Raw genomic sequence first — 14,504 nt, 5'->3', positions numbered from 1 at the left:
GGTGAAATCTCAGACATCTGTGAGAGGCCACCGGGGGAGTCCCAGAGCCTCTCAGAGCCCACCCAGTAGGAGACCACATTTTTGGCCTCCCTCAGAGGGCTAGCCTTGATAGTAACTTTTCCTTCATGTCTGAGGTCCTATTGCCCTTGACCACTACCCTTGGAATGTCCCAGCCCAGAAGTTCCTGGCTTTGACCCACCATGGAATGTTCCAAGGCACAAGGGGGAATCCTTCTAGAGGGACCCTTATCCCTGGTCACAGGCAACAACTCACATTGTTTTTCCTCTTACCTCCTCTCTAGTCAAGAAGCAAATTGAGTTGAAGTCTCGAGGTGTGAAGCTGATGCCCAGCAAAGACAACAGCCAGAAGACGTCTGTGTGTAAGTGTCCGCCCGCCAGCCCGCCTGCCGGGCCTCTTGCTTGAGGTCACACGTGCAGGCACTAAACCGTGGGGAAGCCAGATGATGCTGGAATGACTTTCCTTCAACCCTGCTTCCTCCATCCTGGGCTCTGCGCTTGGACACACTGACCCAACGGCCAGAGAGCAGCCCTGGGGCCTGCCCTTTGCCTTCTCCTCCTCCTCTTCCCATTTTCCTCCTTGTCCTCTTTCTCCCTCACTTCCCATTTGAACTGCAGTCCAGGGAGTCATTACTGCTACATTTCTCTCTTTATTTTCCTTTTGAATCACTTCCACCTGCTAAGACAGTCCTCCTTCAGCTCCTCTTTTAGGAGTCAGTAACCTTGGGCTGGGATCTTGGGGGCTGTAGGGCCCCAGTTCCAGCTCCCAAGGCCAGATTGGGAAAGGGAGGCAGGGGAATGCCTAGTAACCTCCTCCAAGGGCCCCTGGACCTGGCTGAGCAAAGAGAGGACTGGGGAAGTGTGGGGGTGGGTCCTGCCTCGGGTCAATGGGGAGGCACTGGGGGCTCTCTTCTTGGGCATGGGGAGGATGACATCTTTCAGAACATGTTCCTGCTACCAGTGTTTGTAAGGTTAATAGGGGTCTAGTTCTGGGGAATGGTCTGGAATGTGGGTCCCAGAAACACCTGATCAGGGCCTGTGCTAAGGGGCTTTTGAGCTGAAGCCCAGGAAGGGCTGGGGAAGGTTCTGGGCACCTCCACAAGACTGGGCTTAAAAGCAGGGGAGGTTTTTTTCCAGAAACCTTCCACTTTCCTTCTGGGCCGAGTGGTAGGGAGCCTTCCTTGGTCCTCCAAATGACTGACCTGGTTTTCCTTCTCCTTCCCTCCCTTTGCCCTTCTCCTGCATCTCTGGTCCTCTCTCCCTTCACTTTTTCTCCTCTTGCCACTTTCTGCTCCATCGTTCTTCTCATCCTTCTGCTCCCGCCTCTTCTCTCCCTGCTTGTCTTCCTGTCCCTGACTTGCTCCTCCCACCCTCCCCATTCCTCCCCTTCCATCTCACCTCCATGTGCTCACTTTCCTGGAGATGCTAGAAGTACTTATTGAGGAGAGAAGGGCATAGAGTGGCACCGGTGGTTTTCGAGCTCTGTGCCGATGTGTGTGGCCGGGAGAACATCAGGAGAAGAGGCACTTTGGTCTCAGGCTCCGACTGAACCGAGCCTGGGTTGGGGATTGTCTGTGGTCTTTGAAGTTGTCTGAGTGGAGACAGTTGCCACAGGCTGTTGGATACAGCCAGGAACTGGCATCTCCAGTCACCACCCTCAGGGACTGGATGGCAGAGGGCACCAGAAGAGCCTTCTTCTGTGCTTGACTGGGGGTTTAGGGGAAAGGACAGGGTGCTAGGAGAGCCCAGGGTCAGGCCAGGAACCTGCAGAGGGCTCAAGCCATGGCCCTGACCCTCACAGGCTTTTTCTTTCTGTAGCCACAGGAGACCCAATGAACTGAGGCAGGCACAGTTTAATTTCACAGTTTGCCCTGGAGCCACAGGCAAACTTAAGGAAATGGCCCTGACTTGGGAGATCAAATATTTATCCCAACTGTGTCCTCAGGGAGCATGTTACCCCAGACACTAATGTTTCAGTTTTCACATCTGTAGAATGGGGATGCAAAATCCTACCCTGCCTTCCTCCCAAGAGTGTTGCCAGATCTAAGATGGGTCTTGTTGACCTAGGACTTCAGGAGGCCCATGGACTAGCCAAAAAAGTACATGTGATGCTCTGGGTGCATTTTTCTGGAGACAGGATGCAGGGTTTTCATTAAGCCGACTAAGAAGATGCCAAAAACTCCCTCAGGAAGATAAAGAGAAACCCTGTTCTAATGAAAGAATGCAAATGCTCTTTGCAAAATAAATATATATATCTCTATTGAGAAGATATTAGCCTCCATTCTAAGAGTTCCTCAGAAAGAATGGGTGTGTGACTCCAGCTGCCTCAGACCCAGGTAGCCACATGTCTTCAGGTGGCTGGCCTCCTGTGTTCTGCCCAAATTCCCTGTGGACAGCTGCCCTGAAGTTCATGGGGAGAGTGGACCCAACTCTCTACCTTGCCATCAGTTCTGACCACCCACCCACCTGTGACTCCCTGCGTTGGGTAGAAGGTGGTGCCTTCCTGAGCACATTGCGGCTTCTCCCTTGCCATAGTGGCCCTCCCAGAGTAGAGTAAGGATTACTCCCCATTCCTGTCCCTCAGTAGCCAACAGGAAAGCAATGCTGTAAACACAAGCAGCTGGTTTTGAGTAGGCAGAGAAGACTGGAATTAAAAAAAAAAAAAAGAAAGGGAGAAACACTTCTTGCCTCCATAATTCAGACAGTAAACTGATCGCTGAGATTTAAGTTTGCTTGTTTCCTGGGGAAGCTTGAAGATCCTCGTGGGACCACCATCCCCTGCTCAGTCCTCCCTGGAAGGGGGCACTGGCTGGGTATAAGCCGCGTCACCGTTGGGTTTGTGACTTTCTGGATGGTGCCTGGGTTTCACCTGGGGCTGGCTGAGGAAAGGGGAGGCGGTAGGGTCTGCTCTGTCTGTCAGGGGCTTGTGGCTTGGCGGGTGGGCTTTGCCATGGTCTCGCCTCTTGAGTCCAGCCCCGTCCTGATGGGGCAGACTTCTGTTCGTTCTGCTTCCTGGGTGATGTCAATACTGAATGAGAGGGCAAGAGAAGGGGAAAGGGAACCGCCATATGTTCTTCACGTGCTGCAAGGGGGCTGTGTGGTTCCCATGAAATGGTCAGCAGAGACTTTGGGATGGGTATGACTCGTGGGTCACAGGGTTGACTAGACAGAATCTAAAGAAGGTGGGTGCTTAGCTGGGAAGTCTGCAGTAGGGACGGATCACTGTGAAGCTCTAGGGGGACCTGGCTTACCACAGATAAGGCAGCAAATACAGCTCAGGCTTCCTCCTCCTTCCCACCTTCTGGGTGCCTTAGAGGACCCCCTAGTTATCTCCGTTCCATTACTTGCAAAAAACTGAGGCTTCCAGGAAGCAGGAGCTTCCTCTGCTTCGGGAATGGCACTTCCATCTTACTTTCCCAGCCTGAGGTGTCTGGACTGGTGGGAACGGCTCAGGATGTGAAAGCTTTGGAGGTAAAGGCTTGGCAAGGAAGGGGATGGGCGTAAGAGACAAGTAGGGGTAGGGGTAACTGGCTTGAACGTGCACTGCACACAACCAAGAGGATACCTGTGTCTGGCTTGAGCACACAGTCTGTCCAAATCCTCAGGTTCCATGGCCAGCCATAGCCTGGGCTACCTGGAGGTTTAAACACGGTCTACTTCAGGCCTCTAACTGTAGACTCCCTCAGTGAGTCTAAAACGAGCTCCCCACCTTCCTTACTTCTATGAAACCACCTGCATCCTCACAGGTACCCAGGCCCTGGAAATCCTGGAAATGCCCTGCTCCTTCTCCTCATGCCCTAGGTCCCCTGTGAGTCCCAGGGATTCTTTCTTTGCCACATCCATTCCTGCTGTCTCATGTCTAGCCTCACTCCAGGCTCTTGTTGTCCTCAGCCTGAATAATCACAAAATTTCCTAACTCATCTCTAGGTAACTGGCCCACCTTTGAGCCAGCGGGTCTCACCACGCCTTCTCCCCACCAGAACTCTCCAGCGGCTCCCCATCATTTTCAGGATCAGACTCAAACCCCGTAAAAGTCTGATCTCTGAAACCTCACCATCCACTCTTCCTTGTCACTCTTCACCTTCCCTCCTACTCTGGTCACACTGCATAACACGCATTCTCTTTCCAGGTTTCCACCTCACTCCTCGTGCCTGTCTATCTTTGTCATCTCTGTTGCCGTGTGTCTAAATCCTATTAGCTCAGAAGGTCCATGTTCGATGCCACCTCTTCCAGGCAGCCTCACATGCGGGTGCATCCTTCATCCCTCCCCACTGTGGTCCCACAGTCCGCTTCCGTGGTTTATGTCCTCACTCAACTGGAAACTCCTTGAGGACAGTGGTCTTATCTGACTACCTTTCGCATTTCCATGGTATCCAAATAAAGCCTTGTACACAGTAGGTGCTCAATGAATGCTTGTTGTGTACCTATGTGAGCAAGTGGGTGAGTGAGTAATGGAGTGCTTTGTTCACCTTATGGGACATTGAATGGGATGGGAGGGACATGCGCAAAGTTGGAAAATGCCGAATGCTGTCCAGATGCCCTGGAACCCTTGTCTAGAGGTTGCTGTTGGGGTCATGGGATTGGTGAGGCTTTGAGTGGAACTCCTCCGACCAGGCTGTGTGCCTGGCTCCAGCTCCTGGTCATCCTCAAAGCCAGGAATCCAGCCTCCTCAGTACCAGCATCCCGACGAAAAGGAACAGGCAGGGGCCAAAGGGTTGCCTACCCTCCCTACTGTGTGTGTATCCGCTGCCCCCTGACCAAGCTTCTCCTCTAGCCAAGACAACTGTGCATATGGTTTTTGTAAATAGGACTCTGGCGCTGGCAAGTGTCAGAGCATTGCACCACCTACCAGAACCATCACAGGTGCCATCTCTGCCCGGTGCCCTTGATGGGTGGCACTGGGTAGGGGATGCTCTGGTGACTGCTTACTCTGGCTCGAGAAGTATCTGATGGGAAGAGGTTTCTCAGAAGAAATGTCTGTGTTTGAGCTGAAGTCCCAGCTTTGAACTTTGACTGCAGCTTTCTCTTACATTCTTTACCGTTTCTGATCATGCACCCACCTTTTATTTAACTTTCTTTGAGTCATTTCTCCATCTGGGGCTGAGGTGGGGGGCTCATTTCATCTAGAGTCTCCACCCCAGATCTGAAGCATAGGCGTGGTGGGGGGAGGTCACCAGGGGCTGTGGATGGTCCACTTCTGGCTGCTGGTGTGGGACGAGGGAAGCAGGTGGTGGTTGGCATGGAGGGCCTGTCTCTGAGCCCACACACTCGTGATGACTTTGCTCACAAAGGAATTTGTCAAAAGCAGCCTCCTATCTTGCACATCCAAGAAACCCCAGGCCAGTAGACTCCGGCCACCCCACACAGCCCCAACAAAGCAGGGCCTCATTCTGTCTCTGCCTCCACCTCCCACCCTGAGACATTGCCCCAGCTGGTGCCTCCCTGTGACTGTCCATCTCTGTGTGTGCTGTTTTTTTTTTTTTTTTTTTTTTTGCCTTGTAGTAACTCAGGTTGGTGTGTCCCAAGGACATAATATGTGTCCAGACCCTGGCATACCCGAAAGGGGCAAAAGACTAGGCTCGGATTTCAGGTAAGATCTATTTGGGAATTTTCTGATTGCAAGAAGGGTGGGGTGGCCTGGCTGGGAGGAAGACAGGGGCTGGCCTTCCTGCAGGTGGAAATGGAGAGGATGGCATGGATATAGGAACAGACACTTCCTGGAGAAGAGCTATGGCTTTGACATTCTCTCCTGGTTCAGTCCTTGGCATAGTGCCCATGCTTTAGTGGGGGGAGAGAACTGTAGACTGCCAGTGTTATCCAGAAAACCTATGTACCCAGGGTACAAAGGGCTGCCATCTCAGTAATGACACGCCAGAAGGCAACTCGCGCCTGCAATAATCTAGGAGACCATTTTCCTTAAAGTTTATGGGTATCATCCACCCACGCTTAGCTGCCCTAACTGGTGCTTATCTCAGAGGATCGCTGTTTTGCTCACAAAGTCACCTTTTAACTCAATCCTAAAACCATTAAACAGTCCGAAAAAAGAAGATGAAGAGCAGATGTTCCTTCCAATGGAGATTTTTAGTGATAAAACAGTGGAGCAGAGATTAAGGGCCAGAAGGAAAAATAACATGTGCGGCTTCTTTGTGGAACCAGGAAGGACTTGGGGCGGGGCTTGGCAGGCCCAGGGATGGAGCTCACAGACACACTTTGTCTCCCAGGTTAGGATCCAGCGTCCAGTTCACCTGCAACGAGGGCTATGACCTGCAAGGGTCCAAGCGGATCACCTGTATGAAAGTGAGCGACATGTTTGCGGCCTGGAGCGACCACAGGCCAGTCTGCCGAGGTGAGGGTGCCCTGGGGAAGGGAGGCTGGCCAGAGAGTTGGGCTGAGCCTGGAGGCTGAAGCCCAGCTCCCAGCACCTGAGGCCCAGGCTCTCAAGCAGACTGGCTCCCCTCCCCCCTCACTCCCTGCACTTATTTACCAATAAGCATACTTATCCAGCCCTTTCTCAGTATCAAGGCCTGCGCTAGGATCAGGAGATACAGAGATGGGGAAGATAAGCATTATGGTGCTTGCCCTGCATGGACCTTACAGTCTAATGGGTGAGGCACGTAAGAAACAGCTTGCTACCTCATTGAATGGATACTGAACCACACCTAGATAGGAAAGGAAGTCACCTTTTATACAGTCACCTTGAATCCCTCTGTTACAACACACATGCATCTTGAACCCTGTTTCTTTCCCCATATTGCAACAGACAGACTTGTCACTTCTGCAAGAGTGTTTTTACCTATGTAGTGATGACATGCTTCTAACCCCCTATCTGGGTGTTTTGTTCCCCAGGGCCCTGCCACCACATCCCCAGGTGTCACATGAGCCAAGCCTGGGCTGGCCTAGCCCCTACCCCCCAAATAATCTTAAAATAACAGAGCCAAGTGTATTCCTGCTTTGGGGCAGGGCTACAGCTGCTTCTGTGGTAGAGAAGCCCCTGACCTCATCCCCCAGGGAACCAGCAGAGAGAGCCCCTGTGCACTAGGCTGTTAGGTAGTCTTTAAAAGCCAACAGGTGCTCTTTTGAGTGCCCCTTTAGAGGAGAAGATATGTTGCCCACTGCAAAGTTACATGCTGGATCCTTCTGATCTAAGAAAGAGATTCTTTGCCTCTCTTTGGCATATGCATCAAGATAAAATTCATGCAGAGTAAGAGGATCCAGGAAAAATAATATCTCATTATTATACTGAGAAAGGGGCAGAGTTGGAGCTGAAACCCATATCCTGTTTTTTAACTGAGTCCATAAGTAATCTAGAAGAGTGTCACTATAACATCTTTCAAATAAGCCTTACATCCTCATTCAACTTTGAGGTGGCCATGTTCTACAGTTTATAATGTTCTTTGCATTTTCACTGATTTTAGCTATATTATCTCAAGGATTCTACATAGCTACTATGTTTTTAAAAAATCAAACAACAAAAAAGAATTCTTGTCATAACTCTCAGCAATTGGGCAAATCACCCATTTTCCCTAAGCCTTTCTTACCTCCAAATGTTGCTAATAGTATGTATCCTACCCTTCTTCTGTTTAATGTGGAGATTGAATGGAGTTGTGAATGTGTAAGCAGTTTATGAATTGAAAAGTGCTAGAAGAAAAAAAATATCCTCATGCCAGTAGAACATGAGCTCTATAGGGCAAGGACTTCTGTTTTGTTCACTGCCTAAAATGGGGCGTGGCATGTAGCAGGTACTCAGTAACAGGTGTTGAATGGATGACGGAATGAATGACTCATTGAATAGCATACCACTCCAATGCCAGGGAGCCCAGACACCAGCTGTGCAGAGAGGCATAGAATTATCAAGTCTGAGGACCAAGGGACCCTGCCCATCTGTCGTTTCAGAATTCCTTTTGAGAAGCCAGGATGACAATGCCTTTTGCAGTGGTGGGATCTGGTCCCTCCTCAAGACCTTTTCACTAGAGGAAGGTTGTTCTCTTAGTTCTCAAGAGATGATGATTGTTTACATGAACATGCCAAGGGTGGAGAAGGGCTGGTTTTGACCTGAGGGAAGTTTGTAGCTGAAAAAGTGTGTTCATCCTTTTCTCCAGTGATTTGGACCCACTGAAGTCTGAGTTCTCTGCTGCATTGTAACTAAGCATTGGGCTGGGCTTTTTCACGTGGTCATCTCATTCCATCACCTGCTACTGTAAAACAACAGGAAATCATGGTACAAATCCAACCATCATCATTTTTAGCTGGGGCCCTTGGGCCAGTTTCTTCACCTCTCTGAATCTCTTTTTTCCTGCCAAAAAGTGGTGATAATAGAACATTACTTCGTGGGGTTACTTTGAGGACTAGATGAGGCAGTCCTTGTTTAGAAGTGATGCCAGTACGTCTGTGAGACTTACGTGCACACATATTCAGCTTAACCTGCTGGGCACTGTCCACATAAGCTTCCTCAAGCCCTGGAGCAAACCTCAGCCTCTAGTTGCTGCAGGTTCTTTTAGAAGCTGTCTTGTCTAATCCTATTGCAATCATACAGTTTGGGAGTCACATGGACTTTGATCTAGATCACAACTCTGACACCTTTTAGCTTGCTGGCCCTGGGCGGGTTCCTTCATCTTTTTTAGCCACAGGCCTTCATTTGTGAACAAGGAAAACAAAATCTTCCCCGCCTACTGATTATGAAATTTAAACAAGGCATTTTCTAGAAAGTGACCAGCCCTGACGGTGGTGGAGGGTACATTCTCAACACAGGTTAATATTCCTGCCTTCTTCTCTCTTTTTTCTCCCCTCCTATAGGCCATTGTGAAGGAGAAAGAGAGACTGCTAAGTCTCCTGGGTTTGAACTTGGATGATATGTCCTGGGCTTCCCTGAAGGCCCAGGGCTGAGATAGATATTAGAGTAAAGCGTCTTTTTATTTTGGCAATTTTAAGGTTTTTATTTTAAAATATTTTGTTTTCAATTAATCGCAATCACTATTCTGTGATTTTTAGGACAGTTTAGGTGAACCCCACCTTAAGAATGAAAACGAACAAAACTCTTTCCATTCCAAGAAGTTCCACTAACAAGCAGGTTACCAAAAGATCACATTCTAAAAAGGATTTTACCATAATAATGGTATTATTTTTTCTTTAATGCAGTTAAAATATGATTTGATTAGAAATACTCATTTTCCCACACAATTAATTCTACTAAAACATGGGGCCTGGCAAATAATAGGTTCTCAGCTAATGTTTGAGGACCACCTGAATGAATCAGTGATTGAAATGAATGAACAATATGGGACTGTGCCCTCATTTTGAGATATGAAATTAGGCGTTCACAGGCCTTTCTTTTCTTTCCCTCCCATCAGAAGAAATAAGCTTCTAATTTGACTCCTAGAAAATTTTCATCACACAAAGGAGATTGAGGGCAATGTGAAACACTGTTAAACTAATTCTGTTCAGCCCCAGATACAGGCAGAGTCCATAGATATAGAGCTTTTCAGACTTATTTTACATATGGAGCCCAATATTCAAAAATAAGTTTTTGCAGAACCCTAATAAATAAAACAGATACAAGTGGAGCATCTCTGATTAAAGTTGGGTCAGGGGATTTCTAGTCTCCCCTCCATCACCATTTTCAGTAGCCTTTGAGTCCTGGTACCCCTGGGGCCCCAGGGAACACTGTAAACCACTGGTATAGTGAGAGGACCAAATTAACAACCAGCTCTGATTTCTTGTGATCACAAATTGGTGTTGATAGAGTTTAGGGACTGAGTACCAGGCCCAGATGAAACTCTTACAGTTACTGATTCACAAAGTAAATAATTAACAGGAACTTATATATATTATTTTTCCTTTGTGGCTAAACTCATATATATGTATATGCCTTTGGGTGGCTAGAATACCAAGCTTGGGACTTAGAGACCTAAGTTAAAGTTCCGACTTTGTTATTAACCATGTGGCACAGGGAAAATCACTGAAACACTATGGATCTTTTTCCTCATCTGTAAAAGGGCAGTAAAACAGGAGAAATATGGCACAAACCAGGGTGAATTAAATGCCATGATAATTACAGGTGGCTGTCTTCTTGGTGGATTTCATTAGATCAGCTTTCTGGTTTTACTCCTTAAACATAATTGTTATCCAGAGTTCTATTTTCAGATCTCTTCTCTTCTTTCCTCTCTTCTCCTCTCCACTTATTTTCCCTGGATGACACATACTGATTGTACTAGAGTACATGCCCCATTGCTCCAGCCCTGAGAATGTCCCTCAGTCCCTTACCTATATGTGCTAATGATAAAGCTCTTATTTATTAAATTATGTATACTTGTATATAGCATTGCACTAGGCATTTTTCATAATTTCTTTATGAGTAAAGTGGCAATAACCATATTTTATGTTTAGCTGAAGCTTAGAGTGGGCAGCCAACTTGCCCAAGGGCACAAAGCTACATCTGTTGAGTTGAATTTCAAACCCTGACTCCAAAGGCTGAATCCTACTTCTACTTGAAAATTGTACCTGGACATCCTTCGGAGTCAATAGATTGGATGGAACCATGCAGAGCAACTCCCCCTCCACTCCCCACTTTTTTTGGGTAACTTTTAATTTTGATATGATTTTAAACTTGCAGAAAAGTTGCAATTAATGTGCAAAAAGCTCCCATGTACCCTTTCCTAGATTTAAACAACTGCTTTTAAAAAGTTAGTGGAGAAGAAGAAAGCTAAGAAGAAATTCGGTCAGAAACGTAGGAGAAAAGCCAAAAAGCGTCACTGAAGCCAAAGAATGTGAGTTTCACAAAGAGAGAAAGATCAGTAGTGTCAGATACTCTAGAGAGGTCAAGTATAATCACAACTGAAAAGTAAACATTGGGGTTAGTGACTCAACCAAGTGTTGAATATTTGAACTTGTTTCTGCAAGGAATTGGTGAAGGAAGACATGGGAAATGATAGACTTGGGCTGAAGTTTCTATTGTGATGGCAAACCATGAATCTGTCGTGATACCACAGTTCTCCTGGTAGCCCCCCAGCCCCCAGGATTAGAGATGGAAAAGGTGAGTGGTAGAATTGATGGAAAGCAGGCATTTCACCAAGCAGATATGAGAGCGATGAGGAAGATGTAGGTATTGGTGAGTGGTCTTGAGGTCCAGACTGGATAGTGAGGGAAGAGGGGTCAGGCGAGGATCAATAGATGGGATGAAATGTGGGAGCCAGAAGGCTAGAGGGGCCTATGATGTAGGACAATGGTGCATTGAGACCCAAGTCATTCTGCTGGGAACACAGGCAGTGGGGGAAGGAATGGAATGACTGGGTTTAAAATCTGTGAGTTGGACTTTCCTGGCTCCCAGGATAGCAAGGCCCTGGGTGTGGCTATAAACATGGTTGATCATGAGTTGGAGGAAGAGCAGGGTGTCAGATCTCATAAGAGGGCAATGCCCTCCAAAACAAGGGACATCTCTCCATTGAAACAGGAGGGAAAAAGGAATTGAGTACACGTGCAGATAGAATTGCATTCTTAGAGAGTGGGACAAAGGACCCGCCTGCTATATGGCTTCTGTTCCCTCCAAAGAGAAAGCCAAAGTCATCGGCTAAGAGTAAGGGGAGATAAGAGGAAGAGGAAGATGTTCAAGGAATGTCTAGAACATGTGAAAAAGTCTTTGAGCAGAATGAGAGAGTGAGCTAATAGAGATAAATGGTAGGGTCACTGGGCAATAGCTAGGATTTTTTTGAGATGAGTAATCAGGAGTTTATAATAGACATTCATCTTCCTACTAGTGATTTTTTTCACAGCAAAGCTCAACTGTATGGTGGCAGGTATGGAGAAGGCAGGTAGAGAGATTCATTCCAAACTGATGTCTTCTAGGCAACTGATGAAAGGAGGAAGAAGAAAGGGACTTGGAACAAGCAAGAAAATGAGCCTAATGGTGGCCCATGTGATCAAATTTGCATAAGGACAGAAGACAAGACCGAAGGAGCTGATGGGTAGAGAGGAGATATTGCTGTCAACAGAGTGGAGGTCTCAGTGGGGAAAGATGAACTCTACTGGAGGTTCAGAAAACAACTGTGAAAGAAATACTTGAGGGTGGGAGCAAGATCTTGACTACAGAGGGCTGCATAGGAGGCAGTGGCATAGGAGGGGAAGATGGGCTTCAGTCAGGACAGTAGTGGGAGTAGGAGGTTCCGAAAGATGTTGCAGCTACAAGTAGGATTTGTTTTCCTTAGAACTGGTAGTGGGAGGTGGTTCCAGAGGACTGTGGAAAGGGTTGGGAGGGAGGCCAATAGGAGAAGCAAGGGAAGGCAGCATGGAACAGGATGGGAATCAGATTTGGAGAGAAGATATGAGACCAGAGGCACTTGCACCCGGAGCAGTTCTCTTCTTTGGCACCAAGTTGTTTCAGTGTCAGAACTGGCTGTGGGTCCAGGTGGTAGCTCCCTATGGTCCCCTGGGATACTGTTCCCATTATATGATAATGTCCAGAGGAAAAATGGGAGTAGCTGCAGAGCTCAGGCATGGAAGATCTCAGGGAAGTCTCTCCTGAAAGCGATCCAGAAGAGCATTTCAGGGAAAAAGGCAAATAGAGAAACAAAATGATATGTTCATTCATTTAGTGAGATATTGAGCACCTACCATTCTGCCAGCCCATCTGGGTCACTGTGATGAACTTTCTATCTGTTGATGGGATCCCATGGAGCTGGCTGCTCAGGGTGATGTCTGTCTGTCTGTCCACAGAACCCCTGACTTTGCTCAGATAGCAGAGGAAAAAAGTAGCTAATGCTTCATTTTGAACCTAGTTTAAGGTGCTCTATGCTATCTGCAGACTGTAATATTTTAATTAAACCCCTCTAAGCCCTTAAAGTGGTAACTGCCTTTTTGGCCTGTTCTCTCTCATTACCTTCAGCATGTTTCAACAGACTGCAAATATACCATCTAATTCTTGGAAACAAGTACAAGATAAATTGATTCTGAAGCTGAGGGCTTTGGGCAGCAAAATCTGACTTTCCGGAAGAGGTGTAAGATGGTGCTGGTGGAGCTTTGTAAGGATTCTCTGCAGGGCTAGAGTTCTGAGTCCACAGGTCCTCTTTGCAAAGGTGGGACGGAATCAGGGCTTTGATTGTCTTATTTTAATTTGTTTAGTAATGTTGCCAGTCTCGAGTGTACTTGTGGGGGAAAAAAACCTATGTCCAGAAACTTCAGGAAAGGCAGAAAAAGGATCCTTAGCCTTGAGAGAAATCCTGGGCATAGAGAAACAGAATAGACATGGCATTGGGAGTCTGATTATCTCTTGTCCCAAAGGTTGAATATTGACCACATCCCAGGCCCTGGGCTGAACCTTCACATCCATCATCTCATATAATTTCATCCTCACCATATCTCAATGAGGTGGTATCATTTGTCCCATTTTACAGATGAAGAAACAAAATCAGATTTTCTAACTCATCCAGACTTAAGCGACCAGCAAATGGATTTAGATCCAGAAGGCTAAGTTCATAAATTTTAAAACCTGACCTCGCTTTAACCATGCCACATTGCCATAGGGCCCAGTTGTATCAAGTGCAATCTAGGAATCTAAGTGTTTCTCAGTACAGAATGAAAGGAGCAATCAGATATACATGGGGGAATGGAGTGGGGGTTCCCCCAGGACTTGTTCAAACTTGATTGAACAGATTCTTGAGCTCAGGATGAGGGAGGAGGAGATCCTTCCAGTGCAGGACTACAGTGAGAAGAAATCTCCTCCCAGGAGGTGATGAGCTAACAAAAAGGAGGTAACAGACCTGTCCCAAAAGCCCCTTGCAAATAACCCTCTGACAACACCTGCTCTGCTTGATGGTGAATGTTTTTCCACCTGCTCCCTCCACTTGCTGTGGCCCTTCAGAGAGGAGGGGCTATGTCAGACACTTTTTTCTCCCCACACTTTTCCTGGCCCATAGTAGGCACTCAATAAATGTTGGAATGAATGAGCTAAGCGCAGGAATGAGTGCATGAAATGAGAAGAGATTCATTATGTCTAGGAGCTGCAGAACCTGCTTCCCAGACCCTCCTAGGAAGGGTGTCCTGGGAAAGGTTTATCATGGCCCTTTCCACACATGGCAAGGAGCTCTAGGATATTTGGCCCCATCAGAGGAAACTAGGTTTGACACCACTTTCATTTTATATAGTTAAGCTTGTTGAGTTTGCTCACTATTTCTTTACTGTTAGGCACTTTGCCTACAATTAGGATAAATTGCCATGTGGGCAGCATGAGAACAGGCTCTTAGAACCTTTTATTAAAATAGCTGAACACTAACGTTAAAGAATGAAGTGGCTAGAACTAAGCACACATTTTTAAAGAAAGCAAATACCTAGGTACAACGTAGTACCTTAACTGTTATAAATCACTACTTAATCTAATTAGTTTAGAAGCTATTTTAAAGAGCTTAATTAGATTAAGCTGTGATTGATAACACTTTATATCTACTTGAGTAGAACACTTCTAATTCACCTTGAATCTTTATGCTTCCAGTCAAAAGCCAG

At 47.0% G+C, this 14,504-nt stretch overlaps 1 protein-coding gene across 12 annotated transcripts in view; it reads left to right on the top strand.

The window, feature by feature from the left end:
- CSMD2 (CUB and Sushi multiple domains 2) overlaps positions 1-14,504 on the top strand; it is a 651,845-nt gene that overhangs the window by 339,767 nt on the left and 297,574 nt on the right. For 11 of the 12 annotated variants that reach the window (XM_047443685.1, XM_047443656.1, NM_052896.5 and 8 more), the window contains exons 7-9: positions 302-379; positions 5,520-5,607; positions 6,239-6,363. In XM_047443685.1, the coding sequence (XP_047299641.1) occupies positions 302-379; positions 5,520-5,607; positions 6,239-6,363 (291 nt within the window). The remainder of the gene's footprint in view (positions 1-301; positions 380-5,519; positions 5,608-6,238; positions 6,364-14,504) is intronic. The other variant, XM_047443666.1, reaches the window with a different exon arrangement.

The sequence above is a fragment of the Homo sapiens genome, chromosome 1 (genome assembly GCF_000001405.40).
Source record: "Homo sapiens chromosome 1, GRCh38.p14 Primary Assembly".
Classification (NCBI taxonomy): domain Eukaryota; kingdom Metazoa; phylum Chordata; class Mammalia; order Primates; family Hominidae; genus Homo; species Homo sapiens.
The sequence above is the reverse complement of the archived record's forward strand: the minus strand, read 5'-3'. Positions and strand labels throughout refer to the sequence as shown.